Source organism: Homo sapiens, chromosome X (assembly GCF_000001405.40).
Source record: "Homo sapiens chromosome X, GRCh38.p14 Primary Assembly".
In the NCBI taxonomy this organism is placed as follows: Eukaryota; Metazoa; Chordata; class Mammalia; order Primates; family Hominidae; genus Homo; species Homo sapiens.
In genome coordinates, this window is record NC_000023.11 from 12,110,735 (window position 1) to 12,137,488 (window position 26,754).

Sequence of the window (26,754 nt, forward strand, 5' to 3'; positions counted from 1 at the left end):
AATCATTGTGCAAAAATCACAAGCATTCTTACACACCAATAACAGACAAACAGAGAGCCAAATCCTGAGTGAACTCCCATTCACAATTGCTTCAAAGAGAATAAAATACCTAGGAATCCAACTTACAAGGGATGTGAAGGACCTCTTCAAGGAGAACTACAAACCACTGCTCAATGAAATAAAAGAGGACACAAACAAATGGAAGAACATTCCATGCTCATGGATAGGAAAAATCAATATATGAAAATGGCCATACTGCCCAAGGTAATTTATAGATTCAATGCCATCCCCATCAAGCTACCAATGACTTTCTTCACAAAATTGGAAAAAACTACTTTAAAGTTCATATGGAACCAAAAAAGGGCCCGCATTCCCAAGACAATCCTAAGCCAAAAGAACAAAGCTGGAGGCATCACGCTACCTGACTTCAAACTATACTACAAGGCTACAGTAACCAAAACAGCATGGTACTGGTGTCAAAACAGAGTTATAGACCAATGGAAGAGAACAGAGCCCTCAGAAATAATACCACACATCTACAACCATCTGATCTTTGACAAACCTGACAAAAACAGGAAATGGGGAAAGGATTCCCTATTTAATAAATGGTGCTGGGAAAACTGGCTAGCCACATGTAGAAAGCTGAAACTGGATCCCTTCCTTACACGTTATACAAAAATTAATTCAAGATGGATTAAAGACTTAAACGTTAGACCTAAAACCATAAAAACCCTAGAAGAAAACCTAGGCATTACCATTCAGGACATAGGCATGGGCAAGGACTTCATGTCTAAAACACCAAAAGCAATGGCAACAAAAGCCAAAATTGACAAATGAGATCTAATTAAACTAAAGAGCTTCTGCACAGCAAAAGAAACTACCATCAGAGTGAACAGGCAACCTACAGAATGGGAGAAAATTTTTGCAAACTACTCATCTGACAAAGGGCTGCTATCCAGAATCTACAAAGAACTCAAACAAATTTACAAGAAAAAAACAACCCCATCAACAAGTGGGCGAAGGATATGAACAGACATTTCTCAAAAGAAGACATTTATGCAGCCAACAGACACATGAAAAAATGCTCATCATCACTGGCCATCAGAGAAATGCAAATCAAAACCACAATAAGATACCATCTCACACCAGTTAGAATGGTGATCATTAAAAAGTCAGGAAACAACAGGTGCTGGAGAGGATGTGGAGAAATAGGAACACTTTTACACTGTTGGTGGGACTGTAAACTAGTTCAACCATTGTGGAAGACAGTGTGGCGATTCCTCAAGGATCTAGAACTAGAAATACCATTTGACCCAGCCATCCCATTACTGGGTATATACCCAAAGGACTATAAATCATACCGCTATAAAGACACATGCACACGTATGTTTATTGCGGCACTATTCACAATAGCAAACACTTGGAACCAACCCAAATGTCCATCAAAGATAGACTGGATTAAGAAAATGTGGCACATATACACCATGGAATACTATGCAGCCATAAAAAATGATGAGTTCATGTCCTTTGTAGGGACATGGATGAAGCTGGAAACCATCATTCTCAGCAAACTATCGCAAGGACAGAAAACCAAACACCGCATGTTCTCACTCATAGGTGGGAATTGAACAATGAGAACACTTGGACACAGGGCGGGGAACATCACACACTGGGGCTTGTCATGAGGTGGGAGGTAGGGGGAGGGATAACAGTAGGAGATATACCTAATGTAAATGATGAGCTAATGGGTGCAGCACACCAACATGGCGCATGTATACATATGTAACAAACCTGCACGTTGTACACATGTACCCTAGAACTTAAAATATAATAATAATTTCAAAAAGGATATTAATGAGACCTAAAAACATAACCAAGATCTGGAGTATTATTTTCATTTTATAATAATGTTTTTAAAATTATATGATCAATAGTCAAAGGAAATTGTGACTTTAATTTTGAATTTTTTGATTAAATATAAAATATATACTTTTTAAATAGTATGTTTCGATCCAGTGGTAGCTATGATTATTATTTATTCAATATCCTTTCCTTCCTCTCTTCTAGTAGTAACACCCATCTTTCTTGTGGGAACCTAAGTCTGTGTGGTTTATATGGGTTGACTCTCTTCTACCCAACTCCAACCACAAGGGTGGGGTGACCAAGACCTGGCCAATTAAAGTACTGCATTCCTCCTAGCTAAATGGTTGGTTCAAGGAAAGGGTGTGATTATTGCCACGCCAACCAGATTCACCCTTAAGTTTTTCTGGAGTTTTGGGGGAAATATACTCTTGCTTTTCTTCTGGGGTTATTATTATTAAGCAAGGCCACCACACAAGGAAATCTCCACCCATTAAGGACAAGGAAAGCCTTGAACTACTATGGTCAGGTCATCTTTTTATGGTGTGGGGAGGACCTCCCTGAAAATTAGACCAGCACAGCAGAACACATTGCTTAGCTTATTATTGTAACAGACAGATTTGCATCATCTGAACTCTTCGATTAAACTAACTGGAAGTTATCTATAGCCCCTTGCACTTCTTGGTTACATGAATGTATTCATTTCCTGCTGCTGCTATAACAAATTACCACAAACTTAGTGGCCTAAAAAATATATATGCATTATCTTGTAGTTTGGAGGTCAGATGGCTAAACTGATCTGCAGGGCTGCATTCCTTCTGGAGGCTCTCAGGAAGGTCCATTTACTTGCCTTTTTCAGCTTCTAGGGGCTACCCACATTCCTTGGCTCTTGGTTCATGGCTCTGCATCACTCCAACCTCTGCTTCTGTAATCATATCTCTTCCTCTGACTCTGACTCTGATTCACCTGCCTGCCTGCCTTCCTGCCTGCCTTTCTCTTTTCCCTTATAAAGCCCCTGTGATTAAATTGAGTCCCTCTCCGTAATCCAAGATAAACAACCCATCTCAAAATCTTTGACTTAGTCACATCAGTGAAAGTCCTTTCGCCATGTAAGGAAGCATATTCTCAGGTTCTGGGGATTAGGACAGGGACATCTTTGCAGAAGGGGGCATTATTCTGCCTACCACAATGCATTCCTCTTTGGTATAAGCTAGTCTTGGTTGGAATACTAGCATTTGCAACCAAGAGTCTTAGAAAACACTGTATTAAATACAATGAGATATTGGGGCAATTTAAACATTACGATGAAAAGAGGACCTTTTGCATAGATATTTGGAGTTATGAAGCATTTTTTGGAAAGATGAAAGAATTGTACAGAGAACATTAAATTATGAACATAACTTTAAGTGACTCCAATATTTTCCTGTCCTTTAATCTCTTTGTATCTTTTTAAACTATATTTTTCTCTTCTTTTATGCTACCAACTGGGAATTTTCTTTCACATATTCTTGTTCTCAGTCAAGTTCACCTTTAAAATACCTTGCTTCCTATAGCCTATTATATGCTACAGAGCCTTTCTGCAATATGTTTTCCTCCTGTTATCCATTTTTCTTCTTTTTTCTCAACTGTCACTCTTCTCATTTTCTAGAATATTCATCTGTTTCTTTCTTAAATTTGAACTGTTTTCTTTTTTCACTGTTTCTATGAATATTTTTTTCTATCTGTCTTTAGGATTTCTGTCGTTTTAGCGTATGTTTTGTAATAAGTCTCATGACTGGCATCAAATACGCATAAATTCCTATTTCACAATAAATGAGTAAATTAATCTCTCTCTTCCAGAGTTGTTCCCTATACTTTGCTGTTTACATGTAAATAATATAGCCCTATATTACTTAACCAAAAAGCTTATAAAATCATATTTTTAGTCATTTTAAGTACTCATTCATATTTCAATCTCATATTTTTAAATTGAAATATGATTTTATCAGGCCATTTTGACTTTTTGCTCATAAGAATATATGGCATAAGCCCCTTATTTACTCAGTGGCATTTAACGGTAAAGTTTTATCTATGGCAATTTAACCTAACAAATGAGAAATCTTTTCTCATTGTTCTAGCATGCCAGAAATAACTCTCATATTTAATTTTTATTTCCTTTTTAACCGTCTTTAAAATAAACATATAAATAACTGTGTAACAGACAAAAATACAAAATGACTTTTTAAATGTAATCTTAATTAGCTAATTACTTCTTTTTCCTGAATTCATATAAATGTTTCCGTGTATCTATTTGATCTACAGTGTAGAATATTGCTATAGCACAGTACATGTAACCTATCCTAGCTTTGCTCACTTGCCAGATATCTTTTCTGTTTTTGTTCTACTGCATTTGTTTATACTATCAGCAATACAGCTAAAGCCAGTCTTGAATACATTTTTAAGTAATTCTTTGGGATAGGTAGATTCCTAACAGGGGTAGACCAGGCCAAGCAATATGGTCATAACTACTAATCTCTATTATATTTTGGTGGTATCAGAATAAAATATCTTGAGAGTAAATAAGATTTTGATGGAAGGAAGCAAGGATATGAAGTTATTCTATTTCATTTGAACAAGATTTGAAGGAGAACTTTTCATTTTTGTTTTTTAATGAGACTAGAAATCAAGGCTGATTGCAGCCTTGAGCAATCCTCATGCCTCAGCCTCCAAAGTACCTGGGACTACAGGCACACACCAACATGCTTGGCTAAGTTTTTTAATTTTTGTAGAGACAGGGTTTCTTCATGTTGCCTAGGCTGGTCTCTAACTCGTGAGCTGAAGTGATCCTCCTGCCTTGGCCTCCCAAAGTGTTGGGATTACAGGTGTGAGCCACCACTCCTGGCCTTACCTATTCTTTCTTAACTCTACCATTCCTTCAGTATTGCCTGTCTCTCATGGTGTTGTTCCCTTGACATTCTCTCCTTGCTCCCCTGCCCCCTCTGTTGGCTCTTGTCCACACTGCATGTCCTAACTCTGAGTATCCCCCAATGCTGGCCTCTTTTTTTTTTTTCTTCCTCACTTACTTCAGACTGTGGCTTCGTGTCACACAAATCTGGAGAATTTTGTAGGTGTGAGATTAACTCATGTCCCTTCATTTAGCCTAATTTTCATTCCTGCAGTGTCTTCTCCTCCCCATGGTTACTCTCACTCCCTTTTTTGCAAGACCTTATAATTTATCACCTGGACGACTTAAATTCATCTCTCGATGGCTTCCTTGCTTCCCAGTGGTTTGAATCCTCACTCTTCCCTTGCAAGCTGTGCCTCTCCATGTAGTCGCGGAAACATTTTTGAGTCTTGATTTATGTACTGAGGCTCATGGATGAATGGCCTGTTGCCACTAACATCCCGATTATACAGTACTTCCCTTACTCTTCTAGTCTTTCCTTTTTATAATTTGTTCCCCATCAGTCTTACTATTGTGACAGATAGATCTGGTTACTCTCAAACTTTAGCCTCAGTGACTTTCCCGGGCCTAGACAGAATTATCTAATCTATTTATCAGAACATTCCAGACGCTTCCCAGCCTGTTCCCATTTCCAACTTCATCCTCTGCCATCAACCCCCAGTCTCACTATTCCCAGCTCTATCACACTTTATACCACATCCCAAACATGCCAAGCCCTTTCAACCTTCTCTCTCTCTCTCTTTCTCTCTTTTTGCTGGGCTTGCCAGCCCTCACTGATATTTTTCAAGATCCGTTTTAAAACATTTTCTTTTAAAGATTTTCCAGATACTTGAACTCTCCCCATGCTCCTGAGACTTTTAATCTTGAGCAGGTGAAGAAATAATATGAGAACAAAGGCATTGAGTAGTGTGTGGCCGAGACCACATGGTGCTTTTACCTTTCCCCCCAGATAGCCTTTCTAAGTTGGGGAACCTCATTTGAACTACGGGAACTGAAAATGATTTGAGTGACAATTTTTTCAACTCTGCCTGAGATGGCACAAAACTAGTGCCATTTTAGATGCACAGGAGAAGAGTTAAGTCATTATGTGGAATGCATGCTATAGGGTGATGGAGCGTAATTTTCTCATGGGACTCAAGTTAGAAAGATTGCTACAGGGCATTTTTGGATCTGTCAGCTTTCTGTGCCTGACCCTCCAAGCCCTCACTGATGCCATGAGCACCTGATATTCTTAAGACCCTTCTCTGACATAATAGCATTAGATAACATATATATTTGTTGCTATATGTGCTTGTTAAATAATTAATGGGATGAATAACCTTTGAAAATCCTCCATTTTCTTTTTTCCCTATGCCAAGTTAGTTACTAGGCCCATTAATCTTTTTTAAAAATTTATCTTCATTTATTTATTTACTCATTAAGTAGCATCAAACATTCAAGAATCATCTTTTCTTCCTGTGCCAGAGAACTGGTTAATCTTAGTTTAAGTTTTCCCATTACTCAATATCTTTGCTTTTTACTTAATGCTACGTTACCATCGTCAAAGCTTTCCTGAGGTATCTTCTCAAATCTGAAGTTGCAGAATTAGAAGTTGCCAAAGTCAACTATGGCACAAACTTAGAAGGTAAGAGCATGTATATCGTATGATCTTGGGCAAACACTTTTGTCCTGCTCCATGTCAACTTCCTCATCTGCAAAATGGGAAGAGGAAAATGCAGGTAATATATTCCTTTTTTTTTCATTATTTTAAAAAATCTTTAAAATTTCAATAGTTTTGGGGATACGGGTGGTTTTTGGTTCCATGGATATGTTCTTTAGGAATGATTTCTGAAAATTTAGTTGTGCCCATTAATCTTTATTTATAATGTTGCCCGTAGAGTCTATCCTTCCTTTTCTTCTCTGCCGCCACCATTGTGTATATGTCTGTCATCTCAGCCCATATTCCTACACTCATGTCCTAATGTTGCCATTTAGCTCTTTCACTCTCTCCCCTTCAAGGATATTGAACTCACACCAATTATTCCCCCAAATAAAAGGACACATTGCCATTTCAATTCCAAATATGATACCAACTGGCTTTTAGATTAAGTTACAACTCACAAGACTGGCACGCAAGGCTCCCATGCTTTGGCCCCATTTTCATGGTCCAGCGTGTTCCCTCACTCCACTCAGACAAGGACTGTCACTCTTCTGTGTCTGCTCTTTGGTTTGCGCTGGACAGACCACCCTCCCTCCATGCAACTTGTACTACTGACTTCTCTTTTACATTTATTTGCCAGACTTATTTATCACATTTTATCAAATCAGATAAACATCAGATTAATCAACATTTATCAATTGTTCTTCCCAATATCCAAGTTCCAATCATTTTGCTTCCCGAGCATATTAAACAGTATCTGTTGCTCCTTTTTTTGCTTGATACACTCTTTCCCTGTTTCCCACCTTATATTTCATCTGGGCAAATTCTTTTTTATATTTAAAATACCTTTAATGTAACATACATACAATGGTTAGGAAAAAGAAGCAAAGGGTGAGTTATGTAATGTTCAAAAAAGTTTTTAAAAATTATTACTGACTTCTAAAACCCCTTAGTACTACATCAAAATCTACCTTTTCCCCAAAGCCTACTTGACTCCTTTTGACCTAAATATTCTGTCCTAATTTTAATTCTTATGCTCCATTATTGCCTTGTCTACTTACTAGTAAGTAGAATTATCCACTAAAACTCTCTTCTTCAAGAGCCATTGATTAATCTGTTAAGTATGCACTTAAGTGGATGACAAAGAAGCCAGACATTTTTAAAAGTGCCTAGAAGTATTCTTACCTCACTTTCTTGTCTTTTTTTATACCAAATTGCTAAATACTTTTGCTTAAAAAAATGAAAGTCCGCAGCAGGCGACTGCTGGCTGTTAACAAACCTAGAAATAAGCAAAACCATTTCCAAGTCACCGTTGGGGCACTGTCATTGTCAATGGAAGCAGAAAGGCCTCCTGTGTGTGTGGCTGTGGGAACTCAATGAGAACACCTTCTGCCACAGAGGAGTGGGGGCAGGGACAGGCTTGTCTCCAATGTCCAGGGCTGTCAGACTTGGCTCATCCTGCCTCCCACACCTGTGCCATCCGGTGGTGAAGATGGCCTTTGGCTGGGAAGCATTTGGTTGCAAGAGTTAGAAATCTGCTCAAACTAGCTGATGTAAAGAAGAGAGATGTAGTACATTTATATTATGCAGTCACTCAGACACAGGAATCAAAATGCAGCCAAGCTTCATGAGAATGGGAGAAGGGAGGACACTGGGGCTGAAAGCTGTTTTCTTTTTCTCTTCGTCTCTTTGTCTGTTCATAACCACAGGATATATCCCATTTCTGTGTCTCCTGGTCTCTTTTCTAACAATTTTGATCACTTGTAAAGGGATCTCAAGGACTCCCAGATACATGACCTTAGAGTTCCCTTCCCCACCACAGACTGACTGCATTTTCTGTGACTCTAAGTTCAAATTCTCAACTGAGAGAATTTGGCTAATTTTTGGTTTGAGAGTGGCGCTTTACCTTAGGCCAAGTGTTCATTCTTGGTCCACAGCACTATGTCCAGGATTGGGGTCACATATTATAAAAATAAACACTTGGTCCTGTTCTTTCAAGGGGTTTTACAGTAGAGCCATACATAGATCCAAAAGCTTCTACCATGAAAAGTTCAGCATGCTGTATGTATTTGGGATGCATCATTGAGTAATATGAAAGAAGAATAATTTAAGTTTAACACCCTAGGGCTGTTTCTTTGCTTTCTTCCAATTTCAGTGGCCCAGTTCACCATGATTTAGAATAGAAATTGTTAACTTAATCTCAAAATGAACATGTGACTGATATGTCATCAATATGAAATGAAGAAAAATTATGAATTATTTGTTACAATTACATATATCATATGTTACATGATTTAAAATCTACCTTATTAGAGGCTAGGTGTAACTTGGGACTGCAAATTTTAAAAAGCATATGGAAGGATTGGAGGGAGTCTATGGAAAGCTAAGCAAATGATAAGAGGGAAAGAAAATAAAGTATGAGTTTCAATTTAAGGAAGATGGTAAGTTTATTTAGCCTGGAGAAGAGAAGACAGTAATGATGTGAGAATTTCCTCAAACATGTGAAGGCGAAGCAGGGATATATTCAATTCATCTTTATTGTCTTGAAATAATATGCAGCAGAACATGGGTTTGAATGATAACATAAACTCAACCTTTCATTCGCACCGCAAAGCTATGTGCGGAGATATTCTTGAATTTGCTTAAGTAGAAGTTGTATAAATGTATCTGTAGAAGCAGAATGTGTGATACTATAGTCACAGGAGTATAAACTAGAGAACTTCATTGAGATGGCCTCGAGTTCTATGGGACTGAAGTCAGTTCCACGACACTTAGTAGAAATGAAAGACAAGTAAAGAAATTGTGTAATATTTTTTCTTAATGAACTATTCTAGGTATGGCTGAATGAATTGTGCTCTCCAAGGGATAGTCAAAGAAGCAGCAGTAGTCACCAATCACTGAGTTTTGTTTTGCAAGATGGAAATTATGAATTAAGTGTAAAAGCTAAGTTTTCCTCCACAGTAAAGTGAGATTCTGAGTTACTGTATAAGAAAAGAGAACTATGTAAGAGAAGAGAGGAAGAAGAGATGAGATTACGGGAATGAGGAAAGAATGTTGGAATTTTCAGTTAGAGAAATTAACGGATTTGCTTGTAAGTAGTGTGTGGTATGAATCATCTTTCTCTTCTTCTCTCCCAAAAGATTTCTCCATAAGATCATCACAAAATATCCATTTCTAGTTATTGCGTCACAAAATTGAATCTCTGCTAGGATGCATAGAAAATACTAACTATAAGCTGGGCAGGGTGGCTCACACCTGTAATCCCAGCTTTTTGGGAGGCTGAGAAGGGAGGATTGCTTGAGGCCAGGAGTCCCAAAATACTCAATATAGCCTCAGAATGGGATTGGATAAGAGCTGAGGTCACCTGTAGAAGGTGTGCTATGCTCAGGTGACCTGTATCTGACTAAGTATATTAACAGTGGACTAAGTAGACATTTCAATGAGTTATCAGAACTAAGTAAAAATGTTGATTGGGTAGAAGAAAATCCAAGACTAGGATTCCAGAGTGACTAGGATTGTCACCTTGGGTGAAGCAAAAAATCTTTTATGCCTTTCATTTTCAAATATGGATAATGTGTATATTCATCTATGCTGGGGTACAATAATGTGTGATCACTTAAAAGAAAACACAGACATTTGCTATCAAAAGTCCTACCACCAAATAGTGAGAACTACTGAGAACTGAGCAAGTACTTGGCACTGTGTCATGATTGACCACTTTCAGTGATTCTTCAAGTGTAGGCTGTGAATCCTGGGAGTCCTTTAAACTCATTCAGGGAGACTGTAAGGTAAAAATTATATATAATTTATAATAATAATACTAATTTTTATAATAATAATACTAAGACTTAATAATACTAAGACTTTATAATAATACTAAGACTTTATTTGCTATTTATAATAATACTAATAATTTATTTTATAATACTACTACTAATAATAATTTATAATAATACTAAGACTTTATTTGCTATTTTCAATCTCATTATCTCATTAATGCTTGGTGGAGTTTTTGGAGGCTACGTGATGTGTGATACTTCAACAAATTGAATGCAGAAGCAGATATAAGAATCCAGCTTTTTAAGGCCAGATCTTAGATTTGCAAAAAATGTAAAACAGTGCCACTTTTCTCACAATTTTTTTTTGAAATATATTTTATTAAAAATGTTATATGTGTGTAATAGATTTATTGTTCTTATTTTAAAAGAATTGATAAATATTTAAACATTTTTCAGTTTTAATTTCTAACATAGTAAATATTGATAGATATAATTCACACAAACAAAAGATTTTGGAGAGTCTTCCATTTTTAAGAGTATAATGGGGATTTGGAAGTGAGGACCACTGGTCCATTACTTCACCTTGGCAAGGTAACTTTGCATAAGGCGATCTGAGCATATTGTAACTTTCCCTGATCCTTCCATGGTCTTATGGTGGGTGGTGGTATCCTCAGTGAGAATCTCTCTGAGAGTGCAAAACTTTGGGATCACTCTCAAACTGACACAAGATAAAGCTGAACTGTGTACTTGGTTCCCCAGGCAATGCCATCACATCCAAGCCTCACAACATGTCTCATTCCTGTGCTGCAGGGAATCTCCAAGGTTACTCATCTCTGGGTCATGAGATCCATGGCATCTTAGGCTGCAGGAAGGGTCCTAGGGACGATCTGGATCTGGTGAAAAGGCCTGGTCCCGCATCATTAGCAGTCTTCCTCTGTAAGTCTCTCAGCATATGCATAGTAAGAGTGCTCAAGTGTCAACCTCACAATAGTGAACTGTTACTGAAGCTCATGATGTGTGAGACATTGGTGGGGGCAATTTTCGTGTATTGAATCTCACCACACATTTATGAGTTTGATATAATTATTACTCCAATTTTATATATAAGGAAGCTAATAAAGACATTTAAGTAAATTTGCCCAAGTTCTCACAGCTAGAAAGTGGCAGGAGTAGGACACAAACATATGTACTCTGGCTCCAGGTTCTGTGGCATTACCAACTATATTGTATCACCCTCCTTATAGACTTGATGACTGTAATATCCCCCTTAGCAATGTACTAGGAAGGGCAGGGAACCACTGTACCAAACAGCCTAAAATTTACGAAAGATGAATATAAATGTTGTTCCTTTGTGTTCCACTGCTAAGTGGGTCGGTGAGGGCTCCACATGGTCACTTGAAAACCCAGAGTTCTCCCATCTTATGGCTTCATCCTTCTGTAGGTCCTTGGAGTGGTCTCTGTATAGATGGGGAAAGAGAGAGTGGAAAACTGTACAACAGGAGTGTTTTGTGGGCCAAGCCAGCACTTCTGTCTATATTTCATAGTCAAACCACTCATGTAGCCACATCCAACTGTGAGGGATGCTGGGAAATGTAGTTCACCTGCCCAAAAGGAGAAGAGTTGAACAATTAACTGTATCTTTTTTTTTTTTTCATGAACACTTTGAAGAGTTTTCTGTTAATAATGTGGAGATTCCAGGAATATTGCCAAGGGCTGAGCTCACAGATCAACTGATACTTTATAAGGTTTGCCAATAATTGTATATCTCTGACGTGGAACAAGGCCACCAGGGGCCAGGTGTTCAAATACAAGTATATATGGGCCTACAGTTAAGTATCAAAAATTTTAATATGATGTTAATGCTAAGCAGCTCATATAACATTTTAATAAAAATTAGAAAAAGATTTACTTCCTAAAGCACTTCATTGCTATGTTTGAGAAAATTTTCTGAGCAAATATACATATCTATAATTAACATTATGTGAATGGTGCCCTACAAAATTGTGCAGTGTACATTCTGCACAACTGTATAAGGAGGGCCTCCCTTTATGCTGGCTGAGGACCCAACCACCTAAGTTCTTACAGTTTAGCCCAGGTTTCCAACTCTTTCTGTAATGCACCCAAAGAGTATAATTGAGTCATAGAGTCATAGCTTGATTTTCTTTTCTTTTTTTTTTTTTTTTTTGTTTGTTTGTTTTTTAGATGGAATCTCACTTGCTCTATCACCCAGGCTGGATTACAGTGGGGTGATCTCAGCTTAAACCCCTGCCTTCCCGGTTCAAGTGATCTTCCTGCCTCAGCCTCCCAAATAGCTGGGATTACAGGCGTGTGCCAGTATGCCTGGCTAATTTTTATATTTTTAGTAGAGACAGGGTTTCACCATGTTGGCCAAGTTGGTCTCGAACTCCTGGGCTCAAGTGATCCACCCACCTTGGCCTCCCAAAATTCTGGGATTATAGTCGTGAGTCACTGCACCTGGCCTTGATTTTCTTCTGGGTTCCTTCCATTTGTTCCTTGCACTCTAGCATCTCTCTCCATTGCTTGACCTTAGTAGAAAAGGAAGAACTACATTTTCGACTTCTAGGTCTGATGAGGTTTCTCAACACAGATTGTTGTTGAGTCTATAGCATTGTCCTATAGCAAAGTTTCTCAACCTCAACACTATTGACAACTGAATGGATCATTCTTTGTTGTGGGGCTGTCTTGTATATTGTTGGGCATTTCATAGCATCCCTGGTCTCTACCAATTAGAGTCCAGTAGCAACCCTTCTTATTAGTTGTGACAACCTTCTAAACTTCTTGGGTAAAAGTTTAGATGGGGTGTTGTGCCTGTGCTACTTGGGTTAGAGCAGTGGAATCAATTCTTGGTTTGTGCTTTTCTTCATTCTCTGTGCTCCCACCTTGGTCTCCCACTCCTGGGAATCACAGGAGCAGACATGTCACTGCTATTCTAAAAGGAAACTCCAATGACTTCCCATTGCACTTAAGATATACAAGATATCCTTCCAGTGGCTTGTGGGCCCTCTAACCTCCTCTTTGACCTTATCAGCTACCACTCTCCCCTATATTCTTTGTAATCCAGTTCCTGGTACATCTCATGACCCTTCCTTTCCTAGGGACTTTACACATACTAATCTCCCTTTCTGGAATGATCTTCCTGACCCAATTCCTCTTCCCTTAATTTCCACTTATCTTTCAGTGCTCACAGTTTATCACTTACTTAGCAAAACTTCCCCTAACACCATGTTCCTTGTAAGAGAAGGTTTGGTCCTGAGTTAATTGCTAACAGAACATTCTGTACATAATTTACTAGCTCTTATAAAAGTTGAAAATATGTACACTATTAGATAATTAAATAAGTATTTTTTTCTCCCACACTAGAAGGTAGGTTCTACAATGGGAGGACCCATTGGGGTTTCTTTATTCCCTAACATGTGGCAGACCAAATATCAAGGGCCTTTGAGATTTTGAAGGGCCTATTTCATAATTTGAGACCTGAGGAAAACAGATATTGGCCTCCAAAATATGAAAATAAGCTATAAAATTAAAAGTAATTAATGTGTAATTAAATGTTTACAAAACTTAATGATATTACAATATGGCAACCAAGTGAATGAAACTCTATTCTTAAGTAGATGTATATGAATCAAATCACAAGAGCAAACTAAATATTTGATTCATAACAAAATTCAAAATTATAGATTTTATTAAAAATCTTTCAAATATTAATAGCAACAAAGTATATTTAATGTGTGATGAGTATGCATTTTAATATGCTTGATATAATGAGGGGAGGGTGGCAGAGCTCCAAAGTGGAGTGCCTCTGGAGTGTAAAATTGCTAGAAGCTACACCTGTGTGGCTCACCATGGTAGCCACAGCAACTTGTACAGTGCCTTCCATGTAACAAATGCTCAATATATATTTACTGAATGAAAGAATGAGTAAATCCAGGAATGTGCTCTACTGCCAAGCCCACTGCTCATTTAATGTCTTCTTTGCATAGTACGTTTCCCAACATGCAGATCAGCTGGGAACCTTTTCATCCTCGTTTCCGTTGAGATACAGTGACCTTTGAGAGCAGTCCCACTGACTGGGTTCTTAAGTCACTGTGCAAGTGATGCCATGGCAATCTTGAGAGAATGCTTGGAGCCCCAGAAGCTTTCTAAAAGCTGTCAGCTCTTCCAATAATTCCATACTGAGAGTCCAAAATTCTCCTCTGCTGTGTCAACACACTCTGATATAGCTCTGATGTAGCTTTCATTCATGAGCTAGTGTAGGTTGTGTTAATTTTCTGGAATAGTCTCCTGGAACCTGGACATCCTGAGATATCAGTCAACTGGAGTTAGAAGGATACCCCTTATGTTTTAAAAAACTGGAATGAAACCACATCTGGAAGGATTTCTGGAGGTGTTACCAGAAAGAAAGAATCTCATTATTGGCTGTTCTCAAATATACAAGAAACCCATAAAGTGATGCCCAACATTACTTTTCTCACCAAGTAATCTTTCCATCTTGACAGCCATCCTCTGATGGGCAATTGGGAGTTTTCCTCTCCTTGGCCTCTTTCCTCTGAATTTTTTTTTAATCCCCCCCGGTCCTTATCTGGAGCCTTCTTGGCAAGCACATTGGGGTCAGGTGGGTAGAGGCTGTCTTTCCCAGCTATGTTCTGGAAGGCATCCAATGCATCACTCCAGACAGGGTAAAGTCCTCCACAGGAATAGATTTACATCCTTTGGTTTCTTCAGAGTGGAACAATTATAAGACCAACTTTGGACTTGCTAACAGTGATAGTCCCTCATAACAAGAGTTCAAATGTTAGCTTTAGCAAACGCAAAAGCTCCCTTCTCCTACGTTGAAGAGGGCAAGGATTGAATTAGATTAGGGGGACAGAAAGCTCTGCCCTGCTCACTGAATGGCCCTGAAGAATCTAGTTTACTGACTGTTCTGTATTCCTCATGCTCCTGTTCCCTCAGTTTTCTCTCATCTTACCTTCTGTTTTATTCTAGCCCACTCAACAAGATCCACTCAGTTAACCCATCCTGAGAGTCCAAGGGTGTCCCCAAGACCAAGAATGCATGAGAGAATTTACATCACTCCATATATCTGTCCCATAACAATTGAGATAACATTTTGCTTGATTACTTCTAGGCTATGGCAGACAGAGCCTCAGTAATAATACCTTGCAAGTATAACATGTCTGTAATTAGACTGTCCTGTAATTAGGGAGCTGACAACTTAGCCACAGCTTGTCACTAGCCAGTGACACAGCAGGAAACAGGAAGAACCATAGAGAAGGACATCTGTCTGCCGATTGATGGCAAGAATCCCAAGGAAGGTCAGAATGAATAGATAATAATAACAGCAAAAAGCCATGGAGAGGAGAATACTACATTTCTTGGTCAGAGACAAAGCTGGTTCCGTGGGAAGAAACGGATCATGAATTTCCCTCCATCTTCCTGCTCTAAGAGAGAACTTATGAGAGGTAGATTTTAGTGTCTTACAAAGCCAGGCATACAGCTAAGGATGGATCTGAAGTTTTGGTAGTGACTGCAGGAAGGGTGAGAGAGAGGTCCCACATCACAGGCAGACTGGACTGATGCCTCATAAAAGAGCCCCCCTGAGTGGTTCTGAGTAGGGGAGGGAGTTTGATTTAATTAAATCAGCATTCTTCCTAGGGTGCTAAGGAACAAGTAGACCAGTCATCCTTGTCATTCCCCTAAACCTGCTGCTTTTACTGAATTCCTTGAAGTCTAATTCGGTTTCTCCCTTCCATTACTATCTCTCATACTCAATAGACAAGCCTAGCCAACCATCCTAATTCCATCACGGCTATTCTGTTTTAGATGCCCCAGCCCTAGTTTGCATCATCGACACACATTCTCTCACGTGGGCTGACCACTGAAAATATCCCCTTACTGGTTTCTGCCTCCAGGTTCTCTTCCTCTCCTTTATCCACCCATTGCTCTATTGATAAAGCTCAATTTCCTTTTGTAACTGCCCCTACAAGTCTTTGTTCTGGAGTTGCTAATGGAACCCCATTGCCTACTAAAATGGTAGGTCCATGGTGTGAAATTGAATACCTGATGTCAGAATTCATTTGTCCCTTATATCCTTAGTTTCTCTCCAACTCAGGGAATGCACTCCAATTGAAATACTTGTTCATTCCTGTTTTTATCTTCCTGTTTTCATCTTCGTGACATTCTCTTTGTCTGGAATGGTCTTTCTTTCTGAATTCCCACACATCCATTAGGGCTCCTATATTAGTTCGTTCTCATGCTGCTATGAAAAAATACCTGAGACTGGGTAATTTATATTAAAAAACAGGTTTAATTGACTCACAGTTCCACATGGCTGGGGAGGCCTCAGAAAACTTATAATCATGGCAGAAGGGGGAAGCAAACACATCCTTCTTCACAAGGCAGCAGGAGAGAGAAGTGCCAAGTAAAGGGGGAAAAACCCTTATAAGACCATCAGATCTCATGAGAACTCATTCACTATCACAAGAGCAGCATAGGGGTAACTGCTCCCATGATTCAATTACCTCCCACTGGGTCCCTCCCACCACAGGTGGGGATTATGAGAATTATAATTCAAGATGAGAGTTGGATGGGGACACAGCCAAACCATATCATTCTGCCCCTGGCCCCTCCCAAATCTCATGTCCTCACATTTCAAAACATAATTATGCCTTTCCAACAGTCCCCCAATGTCTTAGCCCATTCCAGCATTAACCCAAAAGTCCAAGTCCAAAATTTCATCTGAGACAAGGCAAGTCCCTTCCACCTATAAGCCTGTAAAATAAAAAACAAGTTAATTATTTCCTAGATACAATGTCGGTACAGGCATTGGATGTATACACTCATTCTAAATGGGAGAAATTGGCCAAAACAAAGGGGCTATAGGCACCATGCAAGTCTGAAATCCAATAGAGCAGTCATGAAACCTTAAAGTTCCAAAATGATCTCCTTTGATGCCATGTCTCATATCCAGGTCATGCCAATGCAAGATGTGGGCTCACAAGACCTTGGGCAGCTCCACCCCTGTGGCTTTGCAAGGCACAGCCACCTCCCAGCTGTTTCCACAGGCTGGCATTGAGTGTCTGAGGCATTTCCAGGTGCACAGTGCAAGCTGTCGGTGGAGCTACCATTCTGGGTTCTGGAGGATGGTGGCCTTCTTCTCACAGCTCCAACCCCACATTTCCCTTCCACACTGCCGTAGCAGTGGTTCTCCATGAGGGCTCCGCCCATGCAGCAAACTTCTGCCTGGACATCCTGGCATTTCCATATGTCCTCTGAAATCTAGGTAGAAGTTCCCAAACCTCAGTTTTTGACTTCTGTGTACCCACAGGCTCAACACCACATGTAAACTGCCAAGGCTTGGGGCTTGCACCCTCTGAAGTAATGGCCTGAGCTATACCTTGACCCCTTTTAGCTATGGCTGGAGCTGAAGCAGCTGGGATGCAGGGCACCATGTCCGGAGTCTGCACAGAGCAGAGGGGCCTGGGGTCCTACCCAAAAAACCATTTTTCCATCCTAGGCCTTTGGACCTATCATGGAAGAAGCTACCATGAAGGTCTCTGACATGCCCTGGAGACAATTTCCCCATTGTTTTGGTGATTAACATTCAGCTCCTCATTACTTATGTAAATTTCTGCAGTGGGCTTGAATTTCTCTGCAGAAAATAGGTTTTGCTTTTCTATCACATTGTCAGGGTGCAAATGCTCTGCTTCCCTTTTAAACATAAATCCCAATTCCAAATTATGTGTTTGTGAATGCATGAAACTGAAAGCTTTTGAGAGCACCCAAGTCACCTCTTGAATTCCTTGCTGCTTAGAAATTTCTTCTGCCAGATACCCTAAATCATCTCTTTCAATGTCAAAGTTCCACAGATCTCTAGGACAGGGGCAAAATGCTGCCAGTTTCTTTGCTATAGCATAGCAAGAGTCGCCTTTATTCCAGTTCCCAACAAGTTCCTCATCTCCATCTGAGACTACCTCAGCCTGGACTTCATTGTCCGTATCACTATCAGCATTTTGGTCAAAGCCATTCAACAAGTCTCTAGGAAGTTCCAAACTTTCCTACATCTTCCTGTCTTCTTCTGAGCCCTCCAAACTGTTCCAACCTCTGCCTGTTGCCCAGTTCCAAAGTCGCTTCCACATTTCCAGGTATCTTTATAGCAGCACCCTACTATCTGTGGTACCAGTTTACTGTATTAGTCCATTCTCATGTGGCTATGAAGAAATACCCAAGACTGGGTAATTTATAAAGAAAAGAGGTTTAATTGACTTACAATTCTGCATGGTTGGGGAGGCCTCAGGAAACTTACAATCATGGCAGAAGGGGAAGCAAACAATCCTTCTTCACAAGGCAGCAGGAGAGAGAAGTGCCAAGCAAAGGGGAAAAACCCCTTATAAGACCATCAGAGCTCATGAGAATTCACTATCACGAGAACAGCATGGGGGTAACTGCCCCCATGATTCAATCACCTCCCACCAGGTCCCTCCCATGACACAGGATTATGATAACTACAATTCAAGATTAGATTTGGGTGGGAACACAGCCAAACTATATCAGCTCTCCTTCTTCGGGAGATTTCTCCTGTTTCCCAGCCCCATATACCTCCCTCCTTTGAACAACATTCACGGCTACCCATCCTCTTATCTCCACCTCTCATAGTTTGCTCAGACCCATGGACATTGTGCTGAGTGAGGTAGCTCTGCTATCGTTGAAAACTCAGTAAATTGGAAATTAGGATACATGTGTTTGAGGACTTCTACTTCCAGTTTTCTGGCTGTGTGGTCTCTAATCATTTAACTTCCTAGGACCTCAGGATTATTATTTGTAAATTGGAGGCAATAATTCCTGCCCCATAGGATTGTTGTAAAGCCTGAGATGACATGTGCAGAAACCTTTCTAAACTTTAAAGCATTATACCAATGTGGGGCATCATAATGATTATCTATCTTATACTCTATTTATTTATATAGTTGCCTTATTAAATCTCTTTATAGGTCTTTAAGCAATAATTTTATGCCATCCTCCCACAACTAATTGTTAACCCTCTGCATCAATTAGGCATGCATTCAGCTGCAAGTAACAAAATACTTGGTTATCTTTGGCTTAAATGGAAAAAGGGAGCCAGCGGAAGAGAGAGAGAGAGAGAGAGAGAGAGAGAGAGAAGGTGGAGGCGTAAGGGGGTGGGGACAGAGATTTAATTGTCTCATAAAATGAAAATTTGAAGGCCAAAATTCTAAGTTGGTTCTATGACTTGACAATATCTTCCAGGGCCAAGCCTCTCTGGCCTCTACCCCACTGTTCTCAACATCTTGACTTTTGATTTTCATGCCTATTACCTCATGGTTGCAAGATGATAGATGTAGCTTAAGGCTTGATGACCTCATTTAGAGACAGGAAGCAGGGAGGAGGGAGGGAAGTACTGGATGCTGGATGGGAGGTGGGTCCTCAGGTGGTCTTGAGAAGGAACTTCATTTCCACATGAAAAGAGTAGGCACCAATGTCTGCTACAGCCCTTGAGGACAGGAGTCAAGTCTTTATCTTGATTCCCTCTCCACAATGCCTAGTATATAGTAGATGGTGTATGGTAGATGTTCAATAAATATTAATTGAATGAATTAATAAGTAAAATAATAAATTTATGAATGAGACTTCAAAAACTTGGAATAACTGGTCTCAAGTCTGCCATTTTTGTACATACATCTTCCTTAAAGTTCACCCTCATAATAGTCTTCAAGGCTAGAGCAATTTATCCATCAAGCAGAAGTGCTGTTATTCAACGTGATTTGATTAGTTTTTGTCTAGTCAGGGGGCCAAGGTGAAGGAACATTATGTCAGAAAGACAGCATAAAAGTGATTCGGGATCTGAGAGGTTTAAAATGAGTTTGAAATATTAAAATATGTCTCAGACAAATATGAGGCTTTGTCGGTTATTTGAATGTTGCATAAGAATTCAAAATATTGTTACAGGGTATGTCACATTAAGAATTCATAGTCTGAAAATTATACACTGGCAGAATCTTTTAAATGACCTCCTCCCCGTGCCTCTCCATACCTCATCAGACAAGAGGAGATTCAGTGGGAAAGCAGTAATTATAATCCTACATTGGCAGACTTTTGGTATGTGCCTGAGCAAAACGGGTGAGAGAGGGTGGGGTTAAAGAAAGAAAGGAAGTTAAGTGACCTAATAAGGCCCAGGGGAAGGCCCATATAGCAAACGTGGTTCTTAACCTTGAATAAAGGTCAGCTGCTAGGGGGCTGAGCTAATCATTGTGTATTTTATAGATATACAGTTATCTGGTAAAAGTTTCTGATATTGGATTTGTTCCTGTAGAACCTAGTCTTCTTGATTACAGAATTACCAATGTAGATGGAATCTCAAAATATTATACATCTCTTGGCCCTTAGGAAGATTCACTTGTGTATCTGCATTGCATCAGAAGGGGAAGGAAACGAGAACAGGACATGCACATTTATTTTAACCTATAAAGCTTACAAATGAGGAAGACAACACTAAGAAAAGTTGAATGATTTCTTAAGGGTCACTTATATTTACAGATTTGGGAATGGTACCAAGAAATCCTGGTGCCTTTCTGTTGTTCTTTCTTATGCCCCATATAGCATTTAAAATTTTTGAATATCCTTTAGGGCAATCAAATATGAGAGAAAAAAAAACTGAATTATATTGGTAGAATTTGAGACATTTTTATCCCACAAATCTATATTCAAAAGTTCCCCTTATGATGCTAGATGAATCCTCAGGAAACAATGCTTCCTATAATAATCCTCATATTTAGTAAGAATTATTGTCATCACTTAGCTTTTCTGGTCTCACCTTTTGTCATCCCTAAAATGGGATAATAATAACTTTTTTCTCTAACTTACAGGGTTATTTCCAGGTATAAAGGAACAAAAACGTTTAGAAAACTCAAAACTTACAAATGTACAATAATGATTCATCTTTTTGTTGAATACTGATGAAAACAATAATCTTTAAAACCAACTTCTCTGGCTTTCCAACCCCCAGTCCCTCTCCCAGACTATAGAATATTAACACATGCACACAAGGTGAAAAGTAACAAAGGAAGGGACAATGAGGGAAGCAAGGAGAGCAGCTAGTAGGCCATCGCAATTATCCAGGAGAGAGACAATGGAGGCTTGGATGTAAGTGGTTGTGGTGGAGTTGGGAGGATATATAAATAATGTGGATCTATTTTGGAGGTAGATCTGAATGATTTGATGATCGGTTTCAGGTGAGGTTTAGGAGGGAAAAAAAAAAAGTTAAAAGTGGCCCCTGGATTTTGGAGCTAAGCAACTAAAAGGATGAAATTGGCATTACCAGAGATGGAAAAGACTGTAGGCAGGAGTCTTCTCTATGGGAATTAGTTTTAGGCTATGTTAACTTCAAGGTGCCTGTTAGTCACTAGATGGAGATGTTGAGTGGGTGGTCTGGAGTTGAGGGATCTAGGCCAGGGATAGAAATGTGGGATTTGTCAGCATATAGATAACATTAAGCATCATAAAACTCAATGTTGTCACTTAGGAAGTAAGCATAGATACTCAAAGAGAAGAAATTCTAGCTCAACCCTGGGCCATCTCAACGATTCAAGGTTGGCAAGATGAGATACAGTGACAGATGAGTAATAAAAAAGACATTGAGAAGACGCAAACAGCAAGGAAAGAAGAAAACCAGGAGAGTGTGTTGTCACCTAAGACATGTGAAGAAAATGTTTCAAGGAAGAGGGAATGGTCAGCTGTGTCAATAAGGACTGAGCAATGGCTGTTGGATCCAGCTACGTGGAGTCCCTAGTTACAATGACAAGAACAGTTTTAATGTAGGGTGATTGTAAGGGTAAAAAGAAAACATGGATGGAATAGATTCAAGATACAGTAGGAGATAGCAAATGGAGAACTTTTGGGAGAAGATATGCTATAAAGGCAAGCAGAAAAATGGGATTTAGCTGACAGGAGATGTGGTGGGAATTAAGAAATATTTTAAAGGTTGGATAAAGAGCATCATGTTTGAATGCACATGGGAATGGTCCAACAGTTTGATTAAAAAAAATACTGATATAGGAAAAAGAGACAGTAAGTGCTAGATTAAGGGCCTTGAGCAGGCAAGAGAGAGGAGAATCACAGGAGGGCCAGCTTTCAGAGCAGTGGAGTTCATTAAAAGGAACAGGAGGAAAGGCAGAGTACTTTAGCCAGTGGGAGGTAAAACCCTTCTGGTTTCTAAAAATTTATTTTATTTTATTTTATTTTATTTTATTTTATTTTATTTTTTAGAGATGGGGTCTCACTATGTTACCCAGGCTGGTCTCGAACTCCTGGCCACAAGCAATTTTCCTACTTCAGCCTTCCAAAGTGTTGGGATTTCAGGCCTGAGCTACTGCACCCAGCGAAACCCTTCTGGTTTTTGTATGTTCTATATCTAGATAAGGGAACCAGGGCATTTCTTTTCTTTATTTTTTTCATATACGGTCTCACTCTGTTCCCCAGGCTGGAGTGCAGTAGCATGATCAGAGCTCAATGCAGCCTCAACCTCCTGGGCTCAAGTGATCCTCCCACCTCAGCCTCCCAAACTGTTGGGATTACAGGCGTGAGCCACCACGCCTGACCGAACTAGGGTATTTCGTAAATAATACAAATAAATGAGTTTTCCCTTATTCCTCTCTTTCCCCACCTCCTACATCTAACCCATCAACTGTTCCTATTCAAAACATATCCTGAGCCTGGCTACTTTTCACCACCTCCTTGTCATGTCCTCTCTGAGCTGCTGCCAGCTCTTGCCTGGATTCTTGCAACAGGCTCCTAAATCAGTAGTTTCCCTGCCCTCACACTCACTTCCCTCAAGAGTGGTCATTCAAAACATAAGTCAGATTTGGCCACTTCCATGCTAAAAATCCTCACATGGCTTCCCGTCTCATACCAGCCAGACAGCTGACACTGGCCTACTGTGCCCCATGTGATCTCACCCTTCTTGCCCCTGCAAATTCGCTCACTCTCACTTCATTTAACGCGTTACTCTTCAGTCACAGTGGCTGCCTTCGGATTCTTCAAACATACAATCATCGTTCCTGCCTCAAGGACTCCATCCTTGTTTTATCCTTGCCGTTCCGTCTGCATGGAATGCTCTTCCATATGAATTTTGTGTGGCAGCCTCCTTCTTGTTCTTCATATCTCAGTTTAAATGTCACCTCCTTATAGAAGTCTTCCTGAACCACTGAATAACAAATAGCCACCTAGCCACTCCCTTTCCATCAGAAGAATTTTAATTCTCTGCACATTGCTATCTGCTATTTTCTTGTTCACTACAATTTCTGATTTTGTTGTTTATCATCTACCTCCTCTTCATAAGTTCTATGAGAACAGAAACTTGCCTTGTTGCCTAGTCTATTTCCCAGTGCCTACAGTGGTGCCTGGTACATGGGAGACACTCCATAAATATTTGCTGATTGAATGGATACCTTGCTGTTATTTATTTACTTCTGTTTTCAGGACTGAGACCAGATGGTCGAGATGCTTCAGTCCAGCTGAGAAATGCTTGGGGCTCTCTCTATTGTAACTTGCAGCGAAAGAACCCTCAGCTGCCAACCTATATGGAACATCTGGCCCAATAGCAGATTCCTAACACCAGCTTTAGATAAGGCCTTAAGAATGATGAAGCTCCTCACACTTCCCCCTGAGAATCCCCCGGGGCATAAAAAATGCTACAGCCTAGGGCTTTAGTAACTGCCCAGGCAACAAAGTGTTTGATTTTTAGGCAAAAGTGCCTACCTCTGATTAATCCAAGCGAATGTTGGGCCTCCTAAATAGTCATCTTACAGGCTGAAACTTTTCCTACCAGTACTGCCAAGGCTGCAGACAGCTGTGGAAATCCTTCTAGAGCTAATATTCATGTGCCTCAACTCATATGTAGCCAACTGTAAACTGGTGCCAACTTCAAGTGCTCATTTTGTGTAAGGTAAAGATGTATTATTTCCATTTTACAGCTGAGGAAACTGAGTCTCAGAGAAGTTATAGGACTTGCTCTGGATCTGGTGACCCTGAGTCTTTTATTCATGAGTACTTTCAACAGTGTTTGAAAGTGTGTCTGGTTTTCAGAAATGACCAAATGTCACTTGAACCTAAGTAAAGCAAATTAAGTAGATTCTCAAGGTTGGATAATACAGTTTCCAACTAGTAAATCCCTACAAGATCCAGAAGGGGCCTTAGAGATCATCCAGGTTAATAAGAAAACTTCAGAAAACCACATATGTACTCAGGATCCCACTTTTTTGGCTTTTATTTGTTTTAGGCAGATCTAGTTCATGCTAGACAAACCTATCCTAACCTCTGCAGCACACACCTGGCACAGAGAGGGGACAGAGCTGAGAGACCAACTACTCCAATCTCTGCCCTTCTGCCAAGATGGCTTAAAGATATAAACACTCTGTGTTAGCATGTTTCAAGGGAGCAGCTTTTTCCATTGTTGTATTAATGAGAAACAAAGGAGGAGGGGTGGAATCTCTTTGCTTTAGAAAACAATATCAATCCATTAGAAAACATACTAGATAATTACTATATGAGAGGTGTGTAAAGACCTGTAGAAGTCAGTCATTTCCCTTGGTAGCTATTATGCTGTGGAGAGATGGCATCTGCATCATTCATAACCGTAGCGCACAAATTGGCACAGGGAGAAGGCCAACAGCAAGCTGTTCCAGGTAGACCAGATGTCTCCAAGGGAGGCTGTCTCTCTAGAAGTAAACACAATGTCTATTTCCTGTCACTTTCACTGTTGAATAATTAGATATTTGGTATCTGGAATAATTATTGATAAATAGGGTAATCCTTTTAAAAAGAGCATCCCAACTGTTCTCTTCTCAGAAGGAAGCACTTTTTCAAAACACATTCTCCAAAGGCACTGTTTTATCCCCTTTTCCCAATCACGAGCTGGTCTTGTGCTGCCAGATGTTGACTCAGAGATGAGGGAACGTGTCGGTGGCCACTCTTTTGGGGGAAAGGTAGAAAAGGTGAAGGGGGAAAATAACTGGAGAATGTAAGAAGGCCTTTGTTGCCATCATTAACAGTCAGTCCAAAGGAGGTTGAAGGATGCTGGGGAAGTGGATGGGTGGGGAAAGAGACAGATGTAAGCCACGAAGTCATACACAGATCAGTACTCACTGGGGATGCTTGGCCAGCTTTGGTTTGGCTGTGAATCCAATGGGCATATGATTTGTTCGTTCAACAAATATTTCTTAAGTTCTTTCTACATCTGGGGAAGTGGTCTAGGCATTTGAGATCCATCAGTGAAAAACAAAAGCAAAACAAAACAAAGATCCCAGCCCTTGTGGAGCTCCAGTGGGAGATTCAGACCAAAAAAAAAAAAAAGAAATCCTAAAGATAAAAATAAATTATATAGTGTGCTAGTGGGTGATAAATGCTATGGAAACAAGAAAAAAGAATAAAACAGTTAATAGGGACTCGGAGTCCAGGGTGTGAGAACCTTTTGCAATTTTAAATTGGCTTTCTAGAGGGGGCATTTTGGAAGTGGTATTGGTGCATACATTTGACAGGGTGGAGAAGCCGGCCATGCAGATATCCCAGGAAAGAGCATTCCAGGCTGAGGGAACAACCATTGCAAAGAGCCTAAGGTGGGAAGATTACCTGTAGAGTTTGAAGGATAGCAAGAAGTCCAGAATTGCTGGAGCCCAGTGAGTGTATGTGTGTGAGAGAGGAGGGGCTCGGGGTAGGGGATGAGGAGGGACAGAGAAAAACGGGAGAGGGAAGTGGGCAGTAATAGTTGAGGTAAGAAAGATCAAAGGATACGGGATCTAGGGTCCTGTTGGCCCTTGCAGGAGCGCAACTTTAGCTTGACGGACAATGGGGAGCTTTTACATATTTTAGATCAGACAAGTAGCCTTATGTGATCTACGTTAAAACACACACACACACACACACACACACACACACACATACACACACACAAAACATCTTTTTGTCTGGTATGTTGAGAATAGATTATGGCATAAAAATAAAAGATTTCTAAATATATTGCCTTATATGAAAAGGTTGCGATGAGACTCCAATGCAAAAAAAAGCTTTAAAAATTATAAAGCACAGTGCAGACCCAAACTATAATTATTTTACAAACAATAGAGTTCAAAAGCCAAGGTCCCTCTCGCCCCTTCCGATCCTTGAGTAGTAACTGCGTTCATGCAATTAAACTAGCCTGTTTAATAGAAGCTGCAGGAAAACTGATAACTATGTATTCAAAAACATGTAATTTTATGCCTGAGTTTTAAGTCATTTAGATTTTGCAGATTGCTATTTATTTTATGTTCAGTTTTTGAAATAAATGCTTAAAAAAAACGCTTTAGTACTAGGCTTGAATACTGAAGACTTTAAATATAACAACAGACCAGGAGAGGAGCAGAAGTGTGGGAACTTTAAACCTATTTCTTTCTTAATCCCCTCGGAGAGCTAGACTGGAACACTGGCTGGATCTTCCAACATTTCTGGGGGTGCTCTCTGTTCTT

At 39.8% G+C, this 26,754-nt stretch overlaps 1 protein-coding gene across 7 annotated transcripts in view; it reads left to right on the top strand.

Moving 5' to 3' along the window:
* FRMPD4 (FERM and PDZ domain containing 4) overlaps positions 1–26,754 on the top strand; it is a 902,085-nt gene that overhangs the window by 288,296 nt on the left and 587,035 nt on the right. For 3 of the 7 annotated variants that reach the window (NM_001368399.3, XM_017029983.2, XM_047442680.1), the window contains exon 1: positions 26,681–26,754. This exon is cut by the window's right edge and continues 277 nt beyond it. The exons of the other annotated variants lie outside the window; for them this stretch is intronic. The gene's annotated coding sequence lies outside the window, so the exon portion shown is untranslated. Of the gene's footprint in view, positions 1–26,680 lie in introns of those variants that run through there. 7 annotated transcript variants of the gene reach the window in all.